Consider the following 22479-nt stretch of genomic DNA (forward strand, 5'->3'; position numbering starts at 1 on the left):
GTTTTGTTTTGTTTTATTCTGTTTGGGATTTCTGAATGAACTGAGAAGGAATTGGTAAATTGTCTATAGGGAAGGGATATCTAATCAGGTTCCCAGTAGTTCAAGGTAGTGCAGCTTAATGTCATTTGGAAAAAGCAATAATGTGAGACATTTTTGAAAGGAAGAACTTTAAAAATAGTGTTTTAAATTTTTCTTTCACATCATTGTCATGAAATAACGCTGTTAAAGGAAAGAATTAGGAATTAGTTACAGACCCAAAATAGCAAGTACAAGCACGAAAGAATAGAGAAATGCAGTAACCTCGGCTTTAGTTGATTTGACAATTTAGATTTGATCTCTAGTAAAGCTGTGTAGAATCAGTAACTTCTAGGCTCTAATTAACAAAGCAGGAACCCTCCTTTCTTATTAACTTCTATAACATTACTGTGTTCAAAAAGATAACGCAGTTTCTTTTGTCTTTTGTTTTCTTTCAGACAGGTATATGTGTAATAGCTTTCTCTTTTGCAGCATTTTGTACTGACATTTGTGAAGTCAACAGCACTTCACCAATGATTTTTAAATTAATGATGTGTCATAGTTTCCTGATGTGTCAATTAGTTCTTAATTAAAATTTTTTCAAAATAAGTCAGCTAAATAGTGAAGCCAAAAAAGAAACTTGAAAACAAATCGGCTGAAAATAAATTCAAATAACAGGACACTAACTTACATTGGCACACCACTTGTACCACTTTATACGTACAAAATGAATTCACAGATGTGATCTCATGTCATTCTCAAAGCACTTTGCCCACAGATACATAGCTGGCAAGTAGGTGGCTTATAACCACTTACCTGTAAGGGACATAAACCTAGATCTCCTGACTGAATTAATTTTTGTTTCACTATGCTATATTGTTTCTCCAACGTATATATTACTTATGAATACTACTTCAGAAAATTTTACATTAACCTTAGAGTCTGCTGTGGAAAGAATAAAGACAGTTCTGATCAGAATCTAGAAAATTAGTGAGTTATATGTATGTGTTTTTTTATCTGAAAATAAAGATGGTATCATTTATATCTATCAGCCCACTGTGAAAATCAGAATTATCAGTCAGACTGATTCCGTGTTACTCAGGAAGAAAAATGTTATTTCAAAAGATGCTTTGAACACCCTAGCGTTAGGGAAGAGGATTGTAACAAATTGGTTTAAAACGTTGAGGCTTATTTTCTTTTTGGTGGGGCTTTTTTTTTTTTTTTTTTTTTTTAAGATTTATCTTTAGTCTACTCAGTAAAGTGAAAAGTTGTTTATGAATATAGAACAGGATGATTTTAATAACTTTAATTTTTACAAATCTAAACTCTCTAGTTTTGGGTGTCTTTTTTAACTACTTCACGTAGTACTTTCACAAATACTAAATGGGTATTCTTCCACAGCATTATACAAGACTCGGTGATGAGCGGCACTAGGTTTAAGAAAGTACTGTATCCTTCGGTTAAAATTCCATGCTGATGTACTCTGATAAGTTTAAATCCTGAGCCTGAACTGAGCTGCACTGGTGACTGAATTACAATGAAAGTAATTTATGTAAAATATACTTAAAATACAAAAATGGTATTTCACATTATGTATGGGTTTTGCCTGCATACGTAATTATGATGTCTACTTTCCAAATTACAGTCTGCTGCAAATCCTGAGACTCCAAACTCAACCATCTCCAGAGAGGCCAGCACCCAGTCTTCATCAGCTGCAGCTAGCCAAGGCTGGGTGTTACCAGAAGGCAAAATCGTGCCAAACACTGTTTTTGTTGGTGGAATTGATGCTAGGGTATTGTATTTGTACCTCATTTTTACCTTAACATACATCATGAACAATGGGATGTGGGCCCTGTTACAAACTTAAATTTTTTTTTGTACTTCCTGGAGGTTTAGAATTGCTTTTAGGTTTGACCCATAGGTACTAAAAATATCTTTGACAAAGGGCTGCTGGTCATTCGGGGATAAATGGGGGAGAAATTTCCACCTCATGGTAGTAAAATTGTAGTAAAGTTGAAATTTTTGAATGCTGAATTTTTACTCTGACGTTCAGTTCTTTTCCATAGATGGATGAAACTGAGATTGGAAGCTGCTTTGGTAGATACGGTTCAGTGAAAGAAGTGAAGATAATCACGAATCGAACTGGTGTGTCCAAAGGGTGAGTAATTTTATCAAAAATATGTGAACTCCAGTCACCTATTCTATAAGTATCAGACAAGACTTCAAAACTGATATTCTGACCCTTGTATAAATGCAATATTCTGCAGTGTTAATTTCTTTCACGTAGGGGATAAAAGGCTATTACCAGTTCTTCTATTTGACCATTTTTCTAATGTTTGTATTTAAATGTCTCCAGTTTCTATTTCATACAGATGAGTTAATCAGTTTTCTCAAATAATTGTTTTCTTCATACACTGCAGAGCATCTTAAATTTTAACCACCTTGTCTTAGACAGTAAGTTAAACTCAGGTTCACAGATATGAATTCTTTGCTAATCAATAAAGTTGTCACACTGCCCTAATCCTAGCACATTTTGACATAGTTCTGCTTAAGAAAAAGTGGTATTTGTAGAGGATCTGTCATGTACATCTTAGCAAATACTTATCATGGTATATTATTCGTCTTTTGTCATGATCACTTCTGTATATAGAATAGTAGACCTTCTGAACCACGTACTGTATGATGGTGATTTTATGCTTCATTTGTCTGCCTTTATAGCTATGGATTTGTTTCGTTTGTTAATGACGTGGATGTCCAGAAGATAGTAGGAGTAAGTAATCTAATAGAAAAATCTCTTATTTATCTTATTGCTACAACGTTTAGTGTCAGTGATACACTCGGACTTGTGTAAAATTTGGGGAAAGACACACTTCCTGTTCAAAATCCAAACTCAGAGTAACCTCACGTAGCTTGTTTGATCCTGTTTATTTTTGACTGGACACCTAGTTTCATGAACTACAGACAGGAAGGGTTGGAGACAGGGTGATGGAAAGTTTTTGATCAACTTTCACTTGATGCCTCTTGACACTGATTAGAGTAGTAAGGGTAAGTAAGGTAGCTTCGTGATGACAAATTTTAATTTGGTGCGTAGTTGTCCCCGATCTTCTATGATGATAGGTACTTTAGAAGACTTCAGGTGTTTACCCAAGTCTTGGAAGCTAACACTTGAAAATTGATTCTAGTTTTGTTAACGGTTCTATTTTCAGTCACAGATACATTTCCATGGTAAAAAGCTGAAGCTGGGCCCTGCAATCAGGAAACAAAAGTTATGTGAGTAGGAAAAGAAATGGTTCTTTTCTGACCCGTGTAGCTTTTCAAATAACTAAAAATAGGCTTTTTTCTTCTTGCTTTTTAAAAAGGTGCTCGTCATGTGCAGCCACGTCCTTTGGTAGTTAATCCTCCTCCTCCACCACAGTTTCAGAACGTCTGGCGGAATCCAAACACTGAAACCTACCTGCAGCCCCAAATCACGCCGAATCCTGTAACTCAGCACGTTCAGGTAAGAACTGCTTATGTTCCTGTTCTCTTGTTTATTCTAGTCATCCTTCCCTCTGTGGAATTGTATCTACACTTTCCATAGTAAGTGGCAATAGAATCCCTGTTTGAACAGTGTGAGTAACGGGAAATCTGTTACTTTTGTTAGAAATTTCTTATTCTTCGTGTTCGTCATTTGAGCTAAGAATCTTCTGTATACTTGGCGAAGCTTTCTCTTAGAAATGACCTCTGTAGACACATGAACAAATCTCTTCCTATCTCTGCCTCTTTCACCTCATATAACTAGTTCCTAAAGTATTTGGAAGCAGCCCTCCTTATGTGTCTGCCTAGTTTATTGTTCTCTAAGGTTAGCAGTTAACCTAGCTATTCTTTACTTGCAGTGATTTCCAGATGCCTCCTCATATAAATTGCTTGACTTCTGGGTATATTCTGGTTCTGGGATGGGTAGATTTCTGATCTCTTTTGCTCTATCTAGAAATCCCGTGAGTTTCTGGCACGTAATTTCTCTGATGCTGGTTGCTTTGATATTTAAAGTAGGATTTGACATACTCTTGTCACTTACTGGTGATAAATAACGTTTAGTTTGTTCTTCGTTCATTTTATTTATGTGTTAGTTTTTAAAAAGAGGTTTTCTTCGATGGAAAATAAAGTAACCAAATAGTAGTGAATTAGTTCTTCAGTGTCTCTCATTTGTTGACATTTTCCATGTACTTGAAACGTGTGGGGTACACCTCTTCTTCTTTTTCCTTCTCTGAGCAATGGCTAGAAGAAAAGCCCTACTTGTTTGTAGCATTTACTGTGAGCCATTACTGAATGTGGGTGTATTGATGAATGATGCTACCTGTATGTTTTTAATCAGTAAGTATTTATTGAAAAGTAGAAGACATTATACTGTCTCTTTTCCAGCTGTGGCTTACTTACTGCCCTTAATTTGTGGAAAAGAAGTACAGAGAAAGCCGTAACATCTGCCGAAGAACTACAGTATTACCCTATAATATCATCAGATAGCAAACAGTCTAGAAGTATTTTGCCAAAGAAAGAGCAAATGTATTATTTTAACTTACGTTGAAATCTATCTTAATAGAGCCTTATCAGCAGCGTAAGAAATAACTTCTGGGTGGGCATAAGTACACAGTATAAATATGGTAGACTTTGGCCGGTGCAACAGTCACTTGTTTTGTCATTTGTCTCTTCCCCCTCCCCGCCCAAAGGGTAGCACTTGACAGAGAATATTTGTTTCTTCATGTCAGTCATTCATTTAGAAATCTGTATTTCTGTATGTAGAAAAATAATTACCATTTCAAGGTTTTTCGTATTTTTGTTATTTTGGGAATGATATTTCTTTCTAGTTAAAGAAAATGTTTTACCGTATTAATCCATTCTTTCTGTAAACTTTATTTTCAGGCTTACTCTGCTTATCCACATTCACCAGGTCAGGTCATCACTGGATGTCAGTTGCTTGTATATAATTATCAGGTAATTGAAGAGGGAGTAAGATGATTTACTTTCAGCTACTATTGAGGCCTCCACTTGCTTATACAAATTGCTTGAATAGGTTGTCCTTTTAAACTAGTGAACTGTACCTAAAATTTAAGAAATCACTTAGAATTAGTGTAATGAGGACCTCTGTTTTATTTAGAAGTGATGAAATAAGATTTTGACAGGAGGGTACTTAGCAATAACTTTTCCGTAGAACAATTTCTGAGATTTGGTGTTCCCTTCTTTGTTTCAGCATGTATTTTGTTATCTTTGCTGTCAAAGAGCTGAAACATCCAGACTGACTTTCCTGAATCTTGTAGAGATACAGAGTGAAATAAAAGCTTTACCGAATTCTTAGAGCACAGAATTTCAGTTGTATTTTTATTTTAGCTTGCTGCTTCATGATAGCAGTTCTCTGGGTCTCTTTTCAATGGTACAACTATTATCTGTGACCCATAATTGTATCTGTGGTAACAAATTCAAAGAATTAATATCTTTGAGGGTTCCACAATTCTGTTTCCATAAAATTGGGAAAAAGGTGAGGTTTTCTGTGTAGAAGTAACAACAAGAACTTTGGGGATTAGAAACCTAAAGTACTTCTTTTTTCTATTCTGTTTCTTTTATTATAACAAAGGAGCCATCATGATAAATACTCCAATATTATGTAACTCATGTGTTTTTGAAAACGTGTAGGAGTATTTAAATAATTTTGGTTACTTTTTTTTTTTTTTTTTTTTTTTTAATTTAAGATTCCACTGCACTGGCCTGTTGGGGCGCAAAGGAGTTATGTTGTTCCTCCGGTAAAGCGAATGAGTGAAACATATACCTGCTCTTCTTTCTTGATTTTTTGTGTGGCACATATGCCTATAAATATTTTTAATGATTCTTTATATTGATGTGTTAACGTTTTGTTACTTTCTTTTTAACCCAATTATAATCTCCCATGGGAGAAACAGTGCCTTTTTCTCTCTCAGGTTTTTGTATGCTTAAGCAATGGCTTCTCCAAATTATGACAAGTGTTCAGTTACTTGTCGATAGATTATTTAATCTAAGAAAGGTAGTCCTAATGTGGCTTTATCTAAGAAAGGTAGTATTAATTTGGCTTTAGAATAGCATGTATCTGATGAGAATCTGCATCTGGATGTACCAACCATAAAAAATTTCATAAAAGAAACAGAAATGTTTTGCTGTTAATTACTCTTAAATAAGAATAGGATTAAAAAGAGTATTACCTCTATAACACCTGAGCTGCTTTCCCCCATATAACTAAAATATTTAAAAGCAGTTCTTCTCATGTGTCTGCCTGCTTTATTCTTCTCTAAGTTTAGCAGTTAATCCAGGTATTCTTTATTTGAAATGATTTCCAGATGCCTCTGCATATTAAATTGCTGACTTCCAGATATATTCTGGTTCTGGAATGGGTAGATTTCTGATATGTTTTAGGTATCTGTAAATCCCGCAAGTTTCTGGCATGTAGTGTCTCTGATCCTTGTTAGTTTGCTATTTAAAGTAGATTTGACATATTCTGTCACTTACTGGTGGTAAATAACGTTTATTTTCTTCTTAGTTCATTTTATTTATATCTTAGTTTAAAAGACATTTTCTTTGATGGAAAATAAAGTAACAGAATAGTAGTGAAGTAGTTATATTCAGTGTTTCTCATTTGTTGACATTTTCCCTGTACTTGAAACATGTACGGTATACCTCATCTTCTTTTTCCTTCTGTGAACAATGGCTGGAATAAAAGCCCTACTTCTATCATTTACTGTGAGCCATTACTGAATCTGGGTGTATTGATGCATGCTGCTTACCTATATGTGTTGAAACAATAAGTATTTATTGAAACATATGAGACATTATACTGTCTCTTTTCCAGTATTGGATTCTATACTGCACTTAGTTTTTCAACATGAAGTACAGAAAACGCCGTAAATTCTGCAGAACTACGTATTACCTTATAATATTGTCAAATACACATCAGTCTGGAAGCATTTTTACAGGGAAATAGCAAATGTATTAATTTAACTTACATTGAACTCTGTCTTAATGCAGCCTTATCACCAGTGCAAGAAATAACTTCTGGGTGGGCATAAGTACACAATATAAGTAAGGTTAACTTTGCCTGGTGTCATAGCCAGTTCTTTTGACATTTGTCTGTTCCCCCTCCACGCCCAACCATAGCACTTGACCGAGAATAATACGTTCTTCATAAATCAGTCAGTCACTTACAATTCTACATTGTTGCAGATAGAAAAATAATTAGTATTTCGAAATTTTTCATAGTTTTGTTATATTGGGACTAATTCTTCCTAATTAAAAATAATGTTTTAACGTATTAATTCATTCTTTCTGTATAATTTATTTTCAGGAATATCCTACTTATCCCGATTCAGCATTTCAGGTCACCACTGGATATCAGTTGCCTGTATATAATTATCAGGTAATGTAAGAGGGAGTAAAATGATTTGCTTTCAGGTATTATTGGGGCCTTTAACTTTTTTAGACAAATTTCCTGAACAGTTGGTCATTTTAAACTAGTGAAGTGTACCTAAAATTTAAGGAAACACTTAGAATTAGTGTAGAATGAAGACATCTGTCTTATTTAGAAGTAATGAAGTAGTATTTTGAGAGGAATATACCTGGCAATAACATTTCTGTAGAAGAGATTTCTGAGATGTGGTGTTCTCTCCTTTACTTCTGGATGTAGTTTTCATCTTTACTGTGAAATAGCTGAATGAAACATCCAAACTGACTTTCATGAATTTTCTTAGGGAGATAGAGTGAAATAAATTTCTGCTGCACTTTTCAGAGCACAGAATCCCAATTACATTTTCATTTTAGCTGGCTGTTTGAAGATAGTAATTCTCTGGATCTCTTTTCATAGATACAAGTATATCTATGACCCATAATTATATCTATGGTAATAAACTGAAAGAGGTAGTATCTTGGAGGTTTCCACATTGCCAACTCCTGAAAATTTGGAGAAAGATGAAGTTTCAAATATAAAAGTAAGAAGAATGTCATGGACTAGAAACATGATGTACTTAAGTTTTCCTTTCTGTTACTTTTATTATAATAAAAAAGGAGACAGCAGGATAAGGACTTCAATATTGTGTTTCTCATGAGTTTTTGAAAATGTGTAGGAATACTTTAATAGTTTTGGTGTCCTTTTTTTTTTTTTTTTTTTTTTTTTAAGATGCCACCATAGGGGCCTGTTGGGGAGCAAAGGGATTCCGTTCTTGACGTTAAGTGAATTAGCCAAACATAGACTTCCTGTTCATTCTTGATTTTTTTCCATGTCCTATATGCCTATAAATATTTTTAAGTGATTCTTTATATTAATTTTTTTGTCGTTGTTACTTTCTTGTTAACCCGATTATGAACTCCCATGGGAGCAAGAGTGCCTTTTTTGCCCTCAGGTTTTTATGTGCCTAAGCAATGGCAGGTCCACATAATGATAGACTATATAATCACAGAAAAGTAGTATTCACTTGACTTTAGAATTATCACGTATCTGCCAATAATCAGCCTCTGGCTTTACCAGCAATAGAAAATTTATAGAAGAGAAACAGAATTGCTTTGCTGTTAATGACGCTTAAATAAGAACAGGAGTGAACGAGAGTATTACCTCCAAATCACCGGAGCTGCTTTCCCCCTTATAAGCAGTTCCTAAAGTGAATGAAAGCAGCTCTCCTTATGTGTCTGCCTACTTTATTCTTCGGTAAGTTTAGCAGTTCATCTAGCTATCCTTTATTTGAAATGATTTCCAGATGCCTCCTCATATAAATTGCTGACTTCTGGATATTTCCTGGTTCTGGAATGGGTAGATTTCTGATGTGGTTTAGTATATATATGTAAACCCCGTGAGCTTCTGGCATCTAATTTCTCTGATCCTGGTTACATTGATATTTAAAGTAGGGTTTGACATACTCTGTCACCTACTGTTGATAAATAACGTTTATATTCTTCTTAGTTCATTTTATTGACGTGTTAGCTTTAAAGACATTTTCTTTGACGGAAAATGAAGTAACAAAATAATAGTGAAATAGTTATGCAGTGTCTCTAATTTGTTGATATTTTGCATGTACTTGAAACTTGTATGGTATACCTCTTCTTTTTCCTTCTCTGAACAATGGCTAGAAAAAAAGTCCTACTTTTTTCTGTCATTTACTGTGAGGCATCACTGATTCTGGGTGTATTCATGTATGCTGCTACCTGTATGTTTTCAAACAATAAGAATTTATTGAAACATGTAAGACATTATACTTTCTCTTCTCCAGTATTGGATCATAGACTGCACTTAGTTTTTTGTAATGAAGTACAGACAAAGCCATAACATCTGTCGAACTACATATTACCCTATAATATTGTCTGATACAAAACAGTCTGGAAATATTCTTACAGAGAAATTGCAAATGTATTAATTTAACTTACCTTGCAATCTCTCTTAATGGAGCCTTACCACCAGTGTAAGAAATAACGTCTGGGTGTGAATAAGTACACAGTATAAGGTAAACTTTGGTGAAGTAGTCAATTCTTTTGTCATTTGTTCCCCCTTCACACCCATAGTGTAGCACTTGACCTAGAATCTTTCTTTCTTCATAAAGTCAGTCATTCATTTGGAATTCTGCATTGTTGTACGTAGAAAAAGGATATTTTACCTTTTGTAATATTTTTGTTATATTGGGAATTATATTTCTTTGTAATTTTAAAAAGTGGTTTACCATATTCATTTTTTTCTGCAACCTTTCTTTTCAGCCATTTCCTGCTTATCCAAGATCACCATTTCAGGTCACTGCTGGATATCAGTTGCCTGTATATAATTATCAGGTAATGTAAGAAGGAGTAAAATGATTTACTTTCAGGTATTACTGAGGCATTCAACTTGTTTATACAAATTTCCTGAATAGTTGGTCATTTTAAATTAGTGAAGTGTACCTAAAATTTAAGGAAACACGTAGAAGTAGTGTAGAATGAAGACCTCTGTCTTATTTAGAAGTAATGAAGTAGTATTTTGAGAGGAATATACTTGGCAATAACTTTTCTGTAGAAGAGATTTCTGAGATGTGGTGTTCTCTTCTTTATTTCTGGATGCAGTTTTCATCTTTACTGTGAAATAGCTGAATGAAACATCCAAACTGACTTTCATGAATTTTCTTAGGGAGATAGAGTGAAATAAATTTATGCTGCACTTTTCAGAGCACAGAATCCCAATTACATTTTCATTTTAGCTGGCTGTTTGAAGATAGTAATGCTCTGGATCTCTTTTCATAGATACAAGTATATCTATGACCCATAATTACATCTATGGTAAGAAACTGAAAGAGGTAGTATCTTTGAGGTTTCCACCTTGCCAACTCCCGAAAATTTGGAGAAAGGTGAAGTTTCCAATATAAAAGTAACAAGAATGTCATGGACTAGAAACATAAAGTACTTAAGTTTTCCTTTCTGTTACTTTTATTATAATGAAAAAGGAGACAGCCGGATAAGTACTTCAATGTTGTATTTCTCATGTGTTTTTGAAAATGTGTAGGAATACATATAATAGTTTCGGTGTCCTTTTTTTTTCTTTCTTTTTCTTTCTTTTTTTTTTTTAAGATGCCACCATAAGGTCCTGTTGGGGAGCAAAGGATTATGTTGTCCTTGACGTTAAGTGAATTAGCCAAACATAGATTTCCTGTTCATTCTTGATTTTTTTCCATGTCATATATGCCTATAAATATTTTTAAGTGATTCTTTATATTAATTTTTTTGTTGTTGTTACTTTCTTGTTAACCCGATTATAAACTCCCATGGGAGCAAGAGTGCCTTTTTTGCCCTCAGGTTTTTATGTGGTTAAGCAATGGCAGGTCCATATAATGACAGACTATATAATCAAAGAAAGGTAGTGTTCATGTGACTTTACAATTAGCATGTATCTGCATAGAATCTGCCTCTGGCTTTACCAGCAATAGAATATTTATAGAAGAGAAACAGAAATGCTTTGCTGTTAATGACGCTTAAATGAGAATAGGAGTAAACGAGAGTATTACCGCCAAATCACCGGAGCTGCTTTCCCCCTTATAACCAGTTCCTAAAGTGAATGAAAGCAGCTCCCCTTATGTGTCTGCCTACTTTATTCTTTGGTAAGTTTAGCAGTTCATCTAGCTATTCTTTATTTGAAATGATTTCCGGATGCCTCCTCATATAAATTGCTGACTTCTGGAAATATTCTTCTTCTGGAATGGGTAGATTTCTGATGTGGTTTAGTATATATATAAACCCCGTGAGCTTCTGGCGTCTAATTTCTCTGATTCTGGTTACACTGATATTTAAAGTAGGGTTTGACATACTCCATCACTTAATGTTGATAACTAACCTTTATATTCTTCTTAGTTCGTTTTATTTATGTGTTAGCTTAAAAGACATTTTCTTTGATGGAAAATGAAGTAACAAAATAATAGTGAAATAGTTCTGCGGTTGTCTCTAATTTCGTGATATTTTCCATGTACTTGAAACATGTATGGTATACCTCTTCTTTTTCCTTCTCTGAACAATGGCTAGAAAAAAAGCCTTACTTGTTTCTGTCATTTACTGTGAGCGATTACTGAATCTGGGTGTATTCATGTATGCTGCTACCTGTATGTTTTCAGATAATAAAAATTTTTTGAAACATATAAGACATTATACTTTCTCTTGTCCAGTATTGGATTATAGACTGCACTTAGTTTTTCGTAGTGAAGTACAGACAAAGCCATAACATCTGTCAGACTATATATTGTCCTATAATATTGTCTGATACAAAACAGTCTAGAAATATTCTGACAGGGAAATAGCAAATGTATTAATTTAACTTACCTTGCAATCTCTCTTAATGGAGCCTTACCACCAGTGTAAGAAATAACTTCTGGGTGTGAATAAGTACACAGTATAAGGTAAACTTTGGTGAAATAGTCAATTCTTTTGTCATTAGTTCCCCCTTCACTCCCAAAGTGTAGCACTTGTCATAGAATCTTTCTTTCTTCATAAAGTCAGTCATTCATTTAGAATTCTGCATTATTGTATGTAGAAAAACAATATTTTACCTATTTTTGTTATATTCAGAATTATATTTCTTTCTAATTTTAAAAAAATGGTTTACCGTATTCATTTTTTTCTGGAACCTTTCTTTTCAGGCATTTCCTGCTTATCCAAATTCACCATTTCAAGTCGCCACTGGATATCAGTTCCCTGTATACAATTATCAGGTAATGTCAGAGGGAGTAAAATGATTTGCTTTTAGGTATTATTGAGGCCTTTAACTTGTTCATACAAATTTCCTGAATAGTTGCTCATTTTAAACTAGTGAATTGTACCTAAAATTTAAGGAAACACTTAGTGTAGAATGAAGACCTCTGTGTTATTTAGAATAATGAGGTAGTATTTTGACAGGAATATACTTGGCAATAACTTTTCTGTAGAACAGATTTCTGAGATTTGGTGTTCTCTTCTTCATTTCTGGATGTAGTTTTCATCTTTACTGTCAAATAGCTAAATGAAACGTCCAAAGTGTCTTTCATGAATTTTCTTAGGGAGATAGACTGAAATAAAATTATGCTGCACTTTTCAGAGCACAGAATCCCAATTACATTTTCATTTTAGCTGGCTGTTTGACGATAGTAATGCTCTGGATCTCTTTTCATAGATACAAGTGTATCTGTGACCCATAATTATATCTACGGTAATAAACTGAAAGAGCTAGTATCTTTGAGGTTTCCACATTGCGAAATCCCGAAAATGTGGAGAGAGCTGAAGTTTCCAATGTAAAAGTAACAAGAATGTCATGGACTAGAAACATAAAGTATTTGAGTTTTCCTTTCTGTTACTTTTATTACAATAAAAAAGGAGACAGCAGGATAAGTACTTTAATATTGTGTTTCTCATGTGTTTTTGAAAATGTGTAGTAATACTTCAATAGTTTTGGTTTCCTTTTATTTATTGATTGATTTTTTAAGATTCCACCTTAGGGGCCTGTTGGGTAGCAAAGGGATTATGTTGTCCTTGACGTTAAGGGAATTAGCCAAACATAGACTTCCTGTTCATTCTTGATTTTTTTCCATGTCATATATGCCTACAAATATTTTTAAGTGACTTTTTATGTTAATGTTTTTTTTGTTGTTGTTTCCTTCTTGTTAACCCGATTATAAACTCCCATGGCAGCAACAGTGCCTTTTTTGTCCTCAGGTTTTTATGTGCTTAAGCAATGGCAGGTCTACATAATGATAGACTATATAATCAAAGAAAGGGAGTATTCACGTGACTTTAGAATTAGCATGTGTCTGCACAGAATATGCCTCTGGCTTTACCAGCAGTAGAAAATTTATAGAAGAGAAACAGAAATGCTTTGCTGTTAATGACGCCTAAATAAGAATAGGAGTAAAGGAGAGTATTACCTCCAAATCACCGGAGCTGCTTTCCCCCTTATAAGCAGTTCCTAAAGTGAATGAAAGCAGCTCTCCTTATGTGTCTGCCTACTTTATTCTTCGGTAAGTTTAGCAGTTCATCTAGCTATCCTTTATTTGAAATGATTTCCAGATGCCTCCTCATATAAATTGCTGACTTCTGGATATTTCCTGGTTCTGGAATGGGTAGATTTCTGATGTGGTTTAGTATATATATGTAAACCCCGTGAGCTTCTGGCATCTAATTTCTCTGATCCTGGTTACATTGATATTTAAAGTAGGGTTTGACATACTCTGTCACCTACTGTTGATAAATAACGTTTATATTCTTCTTAGTTCATTTTATTGACGTGTTAGCTTTAAAGACATTTTCTTTGACGGAAAATGAAGTAACAAAATAATAGTGAAATAGTTCTGCAGTGTCTCTAATTTGTTGATATTTTCCATGTACTTGAAACTTGTATGGTATACCTCTTCTTTTTCCTTCTCTGAACAATGGCTAGAAAAAAAGTCCTACTTTTTTCTGTCATTTACTGTGAGGCATCACTGATTCTGGGTGTATTCATGTATGCTGCTACCTGTATGTTTTCAAACAATAAGAATTTATTGAAACATGTAAGACATTATACTTTCTCTTCTCCAGTATTGGATCATAGACTGCACTTAGTTTTTCGTAATGAAGTACAGACAAAGCCATAACATCTGTCGAACTACATATTACCCTATAATATTGTCTGATACAAAACAGTCTAGAAATATTCTTACAGAGAAATTGCAAATGTATTAATTTAACTTACCTTGCAATCTCTCTTAATGGAGCCTTACCACCAGTGTAAGAAATAACGTCTGGGTGTGAATAAGTACACAGTATAAGGTAAACTTTGGTGAAGTAGTCAATTTTGTCATTTGTTCCCCCTTCACACCCATAGTGTAGCACTTGACCTAGAATCTTTCTTTCTTCATAAAGTCAGTCATTCATTTGGAATTCTGCATTGTTGTACGTAGAAAAAGGATATTTTACCTTTTGTAATATTTTTGTTATATTGGGAATTATGTTTCTTTGTAATTTTAAAAAGTGGTTTACCATATTCATTTTTTTCTGCAACCTTTCTTTTCAGCCATTTCCTGCTTATCCAAGTTCACCATTTCAGGTCACTGCTGGATATCAGTTGCCTGTATATAATTATCAGGTAATGTAAGAAGGAGTAAAATGATTTACTTTCAGGTATTATTGAGGCATTCAACTTGTTTATACAAATTTCCTGAATAGCTGGTCATTTTAAATTAGTGAAGTGTACCTAAAATTTAAGGAAACACGTAGAAGTAGTGTAGAATGAAGACCTCTGTCTTATTTAGAAGTAATGAAGTAGTATTTTGAGAGGAATATACTTGGCAATAACTTTTCTGTAGAAGAGATTTCTGAGATGTGGTGTTCTCTTCTTTATTTCTGGATGCAGTTTTCATCTTTACTGTGAAATAGCTGAATGAAACATCCAAACTGACTTTCATGAATTTTCTTAGGGAGATAGAGTGAAATAAATTTATGCTGCACTTTTCAGAGCACAGAATCCCAATTACATTTTCATTTTAGCTGGCTGTTTGAAGATAGTAATGCTCTGGATCTCTTTTCATAGATACAAGTATATCTATGACCCATAATTACATCTATGGTAAGAAACTGAAAGAGGTAGTATCTTTGAGGTTTCCACGTTGCCAACTCCCGAAAATTTGGAGAAAGGTGAAGTTTCCAATATAAAAGTAACAAGAATGTCATGGACTAGAAACATAAAGTACTTAAGTTTTCCTTTCTGTTACTTTTATTATAATGAAAAAGGAGACAGCCGGATAAGTACTTCAATGTTGTATTTCTCATGTGTTTTTGAAAATGTGTAGGAATACATATAATAGTTTCGGTGTCCTTTTTTTTTCTTTCTTTTTCTTTCTTTTTTTTTTTTAAGATGCCACCATAAGGTCCTGTTGGGGAGCAAAGGATTATGTTGTCCTTGACGTTAAGTGAATTAGCCAAACATAGATTTCCTGTTCATTCTTGATTTTTTTCCATGTCATATATGCCTATAAATATTTTTAAGTGATTCTTTATATTAATTTTTTTGTTGTTGTTACTTTCTTGTTAACCCGATTATAAACTCCCATGGGAGCAAGAGTGCCTTTTTTGCCCTCAGGTTTTTATGTGGTTAAGCAATGGCAGGTCCATATAATGACAGACTATATAATCAAAGAAAGGTAGTGTTCATGTGACTTTACAATTAGCATGTATCTGCATAGAATCTGCCTCTGGCTTTACCAGCAATAGAATATTTATAGAAGAGAAACAGAAATGCTTTGCTGTTAATGACGCTTAAATGAGAATAGGAGTAAACGAGAGTATTACCGCCAAATCACCGGAGCTGCTTTCCCCCTTATAACCAGTTCCTAAAGTGAATGAAAGCAGCTCCCCTTATGTGTCTGCCTACTTTATTCTTTGGTAAGTTTAGCAGTTCATCTAGCTATTCTTTATTTGAAATGATTTCCGGATGCCTCCTCATATAAATTGCTGACTTCTGGAAATATTCTTCTTCTGGAATGGGTAGATTTCTGATGTGGTTTAGTATATATATAAACCCCGTGAGCTTCTGGCGTCTAATTTCTCTGATTCTGGTTACACTGATATTTAAAGTAGGGTTTGACATACTCCATCACTTAATGTTGATAACTAACCTTTATATTCTTCTTAGTTCGTTTTATTTATGTGTTAGCTTAAAAGACATTTTCTTTGATGGAAAATGAAGTAACAAAATAATAGTGAAATAGTTCTGCGGTTGTCTCTAATTTCGTGATATTTTCCATGTACTTGAAACATGTATGGTATACCTCTTCTTTTTCCTTCTCTGAACAATGGCTAGAAAAAAAGCCTTACTTGTTTCTGTCATTTACTGTGAGCGATTACTGAATCTGGGTGTATTCATGTATGCTGCTACCTGTATGTTTTCAGATAATAAAAATTTTTTGAAACATATAAGACATTATACTTTCTCTTGTCCAGTATTGGATTATAGACTGCACTTAGTTTTTCGTAATGAAGTACAGACAAAGCCATAACATCTGTCAAACTATATATTGTCCTATAATATTGTCTGATACAAAACAGTCTAGAAATATTCTGACAGGGAAATAGCAAATGTATTAATTTAACTTACCTTGCAATCTCTCTTAATGGAGCCTTACCACCAGTGTAAGAAATAACTTCTGGGTGTGAATAAGTACACAGTATAAGGTAAACTTTGGTGAAATAGTCAATTCTTTTGTCATTAGTTCCCCCTTCACTCCCAAAGTGTAGCACTTGTCATAGAATCTTTCTTTCTTCATAAAGTCAGTCATTCATTTAGAATTCTGCATTATTGTATGTAGAAAAACAATATTTTACCTATTTTTGTTATATTCAGAATTATATTTCTTTCTAATTTTAAAAAAATGGTTTACCGTATTCATTTTTTTCTGGAACCTTTCTTTTCAGGCATTTCCTGCTTATCCAAATTCACCATTTCAAGTCGCCACTGGATATCAGTTCCCTGTATACAATTATCAGGTAATGTCAGAGGGAGTAAAATGATTTGCTTTTAGGTATTATTGAGGCCTTTAACTTGTTCATACAAATTTCCTGAATAGTTGCTCATTTTAAACTAGTGAATTGTACCTAAAATTTAAGGAAACACTTAGTGTAGAATGAAGACCTCTGTGTTATTTAGAATAATGAGGTAGTATTTTGACAGGAATATACTTGGCAATAACTTTTCTGTAGAACAGATTTCTGAGATTTGGTGTTCTCTTCTTCATTTCTGGATGTAGTTTTCATCTTTACTGTCAAATAGCTAAATGAAACGTCCAAAGTGTCTTTCATGAATTTTCTTAGGGAGATAGACTGAAATAAAATTATGCTGCACTTTTCAGAGCACAGAATCCCAATTACATTTTCATTTTAGCTGGCTGTTTGACGATAGTAATGCTCTGGATCTCTTTTCATAGATACAAGTGTATCTGTGACCCATAATTATATCTACGGTAATAAACTGAAAGAGCTAGTATCTTTGAGGTTTCCACATTGCGAAATCCCGAAAATGTGGAGAAAGCTGAAGTTTCCAATGTAAAAGTAACAAGAATGTCATGGACTAGAAACATAAAGTATTTGAGTTTTCCTTTCTGTTACTTTTATTACAATAAAAAAGGAGACAGCAGGATAAGTACTTTAATATTGTGTTTCTCATGTGTTTTTGAAAATGTGTAGTAATACTTCAATAGTTTTGGTTTCCTTTTATTTATTGATTGATTTTTTAAGATTCCACCTTAGGGGCCTGTTGGGTAGCAAAGGGATTATGTTGTCCTTGACGTTAAGGGAATTAGCCAAACATAGACTTCCTGTTCATTCTTGATTTTTTTCCATGTCATATATGCCTACAAATATTTTTAAGTGACTTTTTATGTTAATGTTTTTTTTGTTGTTGTTTCCTTCTTGTTAACCCGATTATAAACTCCCATGGCAGCAACAGTGCCTTTTTTGTCCTCAGGTTTTTATGTGCTTAAGCAATGGCAGGTCTACATAATGATAGACTATATAATCAAAGAAAGGGAGTATTCACGTGACTTTAGAATTAGCATGTGTCTGCACAGAATATGCCTCTGGCTTTACCAGCAGTAGAAAATTTATAGAAGAGAAACAGAAATGCTTTGCTGTTAATGACGCCTAAATAAGAATAGGAGTAAAGGAGAGTATTACCTCCAACTCACCGGAGCTGCTTTCCCCCTTATAAGCAGTTCCTAAAGTGAATGAAAGCAGCTCTCCTTATGTGTCTGCCTACTTTATTCTTCGGTAAGTTTAGCAGTTTATCTAGCTATCCTTTATTTGAAATGATTGCCACATGCCTCCTCATATAAATGGCTGACTTCTGGATATATTCTGGTTCTGGAATGGGCAGATTTCTGACGTGGTTTAGTATATATATATAAACCCGGTGAGTTTCTGGCATGTAATTTCTCTGATCGTGGTTACATTGATATTTAAAGTAGGGTTTGACATAGTGTGTCACTTACTGTTGATAAATATCGTTTATTTTCTTCTTAGTTCATTTCATTGATGTGTTAGCTTAAAAGACATTTTCTTTGACAGAAAATGAAGTAATGAAATAATAGTGAAATCGTTCTGCTGTGTCTCTAATTTGTTGATATTTTCCATGTACTTGAAACATGTATGGTATACCTCTTCTTTTTCCTTCTCTGAACCATGGCTAGAAAAAAAGCCCTACTTGTTTCTCTCGTTTACTGTGAGGCATTAGTGATTCTGGGTGTATTCATGTATGCTGCTACCTGTATGTTTTCAAACAATAAGAATTTGTTGAAACATGTCAGACATTATACTTTTTATTCTCCAGTATTGGAATATAGACTGCAATTAGTTTTTTGGAATGAAATACAGACAAAGCCATAACATCTATAGAACTACATATTACCCTACAATATTGTCTGATACAAAACAGTCTGGAAATATTCTTACAGCGAAATTGCAAATGTATTGATTTACCTTACATTGCAATCTGTCTTAGTGGAACCTTATCACCAGTGTAAGACATAATTTCTGGGTGTGAATAAGTACACAGTATAAGGTAAATTTTGGTGAAGTAGTCAGTTCTTTGTCATTTGTTCCCCCTTCACACCCAAAGTGTAGCACTTGACATAGAATCTTTCTTTCCTCATAAAGTCATTCATTTGGAATTCTGCATTGTTGTATGTAGAAAAAGGATATTTTCCGTTTTGTAATATTTTTCTTATATTGGGAATTATATTTCTTTCTAATTTTAAAATGTGGTTTACCATATTCATTTTTTCTGCAACCTTTTCAGGCATTTCCTGCTTATCCAAATTCACCAGTTCAGGTCACCACTGGATATCAGTTGCCTGTATACAATTATCAGGTAATGTAAGAGGTAGTAAAATGGTTTGCTTTCAGGTATTATTGAGGCCTTTAACTTGTTTATAGAAATTTCCTGAATAGTTGGTCATTTTTAACTAGTGAAGTGTCCCTAAAATTTAAGGAAAGACTTAGTGTAGAATGAAGACCTCTGTCTTATTTAGAAGTAATGAAGTAATATTTTTACAGGAATATCCTTGGCAATAACATTTGTGTAGAAGAGATTTCTGAGATTTGGTGTCCCCTTCTTCATTTGTGGATATAGTTTTCATCTTTGCTGTCAAATAGCTGAATGAAACATCCAAACTGACTTTCATGAATTTTTTTAGGGAGATAGAGTGAAATAAAATTATGATCCACTTTTCAGAGCACAGAATTCCAATTATATTTTCATTTTAGCTGGCTGTTTGACGGTAGTCATTCTCAGGATCTCTTCTCATAGATACAAGTATATCTATGACCCATAACTATATCTATGGTAATAAACTGAAAGAGCTAGTATTTTTGAGGTTTCCACATTGCCAACTCCCAAAAATTTGGAGAAAGGTGAAGATTCAAATTTAAAGTAACAAGAATGTCATGGACAAGAAACATAAAGTACTTAAGTTTTCCTTTCTGTTACTTTTATTATAATAAAAAAGGAGACAGCGGAATAAGTACTTCAATACTGTGTTTCTCATGTGTGTTTGAAAATATGTAGGAATAGTTTAATAGTTTTGGTTTCCTTTTTTTTTTTTTTTTTTTAAAGATGCCACCTTAGGGGCCTGTTGGGGAGCAAAGGGATTATGTTGTCCTTGACGTTAAGGGAATTAGCCAAACATAGACTTCCTGTTCATTCTTGATTTTTTTTCCATGTCATATATGCCTATAAATATTTTTAAGTGACTCTCTATATTAATGTTTGTTGTTGTTGTTGTTACTTTCTTGTTAACCCGAGTATAAACTCCCATGGCAGCAACAGTGCCTTTTTTGCCCTCAGGGTTTTATGTGCTTAAGCAATGGCAGCTCCACATAATGATAGACTATATAATCAAAGAAAGGTAATATTCACGTGACTTTAGAATTAGCATGTAGCTGCATAGAATCTGCCTCTGGCTTTACCAGCAGTAGTAAATTTATAGAAGAGAAACAGAAATGCTTTGCTGTTAATTATGCTTAAATAAGAATAGAAGTAAAGGAGAGTATTACCTGCAAATCACCAGAGCAGCTTTCCCCCGTATAAGCAGTTCCTAAAGTGAATGAAAGCAGCTCTCCTTATGTGTCTGCCTACTTTATTCTTCCGTAAGTTTAGCAATTCATCTAGCTATCCTTTATTTGAAATGATTTCCAGATGCCTCCTCATATAAATTGCTGACTTCTGGATATATTCTGGTTCTGGAATGGGTAGATTTCTGATGTGATTTAGTATATATATATAAACCGCTTGAGTTTCTGGCATCTAATTTCTCTGATCCTGGTGACATTGATATTTAAAGTAGGGTTTGACATACTCTATCACTTACTGTTGATAAATAACGTTTATATTCTTCTTAGTTCATTTCATTGATGTGTTAGCTTAAAAGACATTTTCTTTGATGGAAAATGTAGTAACAAAATAATAGTGAAATAGTTCTGCGGTTGTCTCTAATTTCGTGATATTTTCCATGTACTTGAAACATGTATGGTATACCTCTTCTTTTTCCTTCTCTGAACAATGGCTAGAAAAAAAGCCTTACTTGTTTCTGTCATTTACTGTGAGCGATTACTGAATCTGGGTGTATTCATGTATGCTGCTACCTGTATGTTTTCAGATAATAAAAATTTTTTGAAACATATAAGACATTATACTTTCTCTTGTCCAGTATTGGATTATAGACTGCACTTAGTTTTTCGTAATGAAGTACAGACAAAGCCATAACATCTGTCAAACTATATATTGTCCTATAATATTGTCTGATACAAAACAGTCTAGAAATATTCTGACAGGGAAATAGCAAATGTATTAATTTAACTTACCTTGCAATCTCTCTTAATGGAGCCTTACCACCAGTGTAAGAAATAACTTCTGGGTGTGAATAAGTACACAGTATAAGGTAAACTTTGGTGAAATAGTCAATTCTTTTGTCATTAGTTCCCCCTTCACTCCCAAAGTGTAGCACTTGTCATAGAATCTTTCTTTCTTCATAAAGTCAGTCATTCATTTAGAATTCTGCATTATTGTATGTAGAAAAACAATATTTTACCTATTTTTGTTATATTCAGAATTATATTTCTTTCTAATTTTAAAAAAATGGTTTACCGTATTCATTTTTTTCTGGAACCTTTCTTTTCAGGCATTTCCTGCTTATCCAAATTCACCATTTCAAGTCGCCACTGGATATCAGTTCCCTGTATACAATTATCAGGTAATGTCAGAGGGAGTAAAATGATTTGCTTTTAGGTATTATTGAGGCCTTTAACTTGTTCATACAAATTTCCTGAATAGTTGCTCATTTTAAACTAGTGAATTGTACCTAAAATTTAAGGAAACACTTAGTGTAGAATGAAGACCTCTGTGTTATTTAGAATAATGAGGTAGTATTTTGACAGGAATATACTTGGCAATAACTTTTCTGTAGAACAGATTTCTGAGATTTGGTGTTCTCTTCTTCATTTCTGGATGTAGTTTTCATCTTTACTGTCAAATAGCTAAATGAAACGTCCAAAGTGTCTTTCATGAATTTTCTTAGGGAGATAGACTGAAATAAAATTATGCTGCACTTTTCAGAGCACAGAATCCCAATTACATTTTCATTTTAGCTGGCTGTTTGACGATAGTAATGCTCTGGATCTCTTTTCATAGATACAAGTGTATCTGTGACCCATAATTATATCTACGGTAATAAACTGAAAGAGCTAGTATCTTTGAGGTTTCCACATTGCGAAATCCCGAAAATGTGGAGAAAGCTGAAGTTTCCAATGTAAAAGTAACAAGAATGTCATGGACTAGAAACATAAAGTATTTGAGTTTTCCTTTCTGTTACTTTTATTACAATAAAAAAGGAGACAGCAGGATAAGTACTTTAATATTGTGTTTCTCATGTGTTTTTGAAAATGTGTAGTAATACTTCAATAGTTTTGGTTTCCTTTTAT

The 22479-nt window shown here is 33.7% G+C and overlaps 1 protein-coding gene across 3 annotated transcripts in view; it reads left to right on the top strand.

Moving 5' to 3' along the window:
• Window positions 1–22479, top strand: part of DAZ4 (deleted in azoospermia 4) — a 73221-nt gene that overhangs the window by 16099 nt on the left and 34643 nt on the right. Inside the window, exons 7-19 of one of the 3 annotated variants that reach the window (NM_001388484.1) lie at window positions 1661–1807; window positions 2082–2173; window positions 2734–2785; window positions 3222–3285; window positions 3375–3514; window positions 4915–4986; window positions 7358–7429; window positions 9748–9819; window positions 12144–12215; window positions 14528–14599; window positions 16924–16995; window positions 19301–19372; window positions 21681–21752. In NM_001388484.1, coding sequence (NP_001375413.1) covers window positions 1661–1807; window positions 2082–2173; window positions 2734–2785; window positions 3222–3285; window positions 3375–3514; window positions 4915–4986; window positions 7358–7429; window positions 9748–9819; window positions 12144–12215; window positions 14528–14599; window positions 16924–16995; window positions 19301–19372; window positions 21681–21752 — 1071 coding nt within the window. The remainder of the gene's footprint in view (window positions 1–1660; window positions 1808–2081; window positions 2174–2733; window positions 2786–3221; window positions 3286–3374; window positions 3515–4914; window positions 4987–7357; window positions 7430–9747; window positions 9820–12143; window positions 12216–14527; window positions 14600–16923; window positions 16996–19300; window positions 19373–21680; window positions 21753–22479) is intronic. The other 2 variants (NM_001005375.3, NM_020420.4) reach the window with 2 other exon arrangements.

The sequence above is a fragment of the Homo sapiens genome, chromosome Y (genome assembly GCF_000001405.40).
Source record: "Homo sapiens chromosome Y, GRCh38.p14 Primary Assembly".
NCBI lineage: Eukaryota > Metazoa > Chordata > Mammalia > Primates > Hominidae > Homo > Homo sapiens.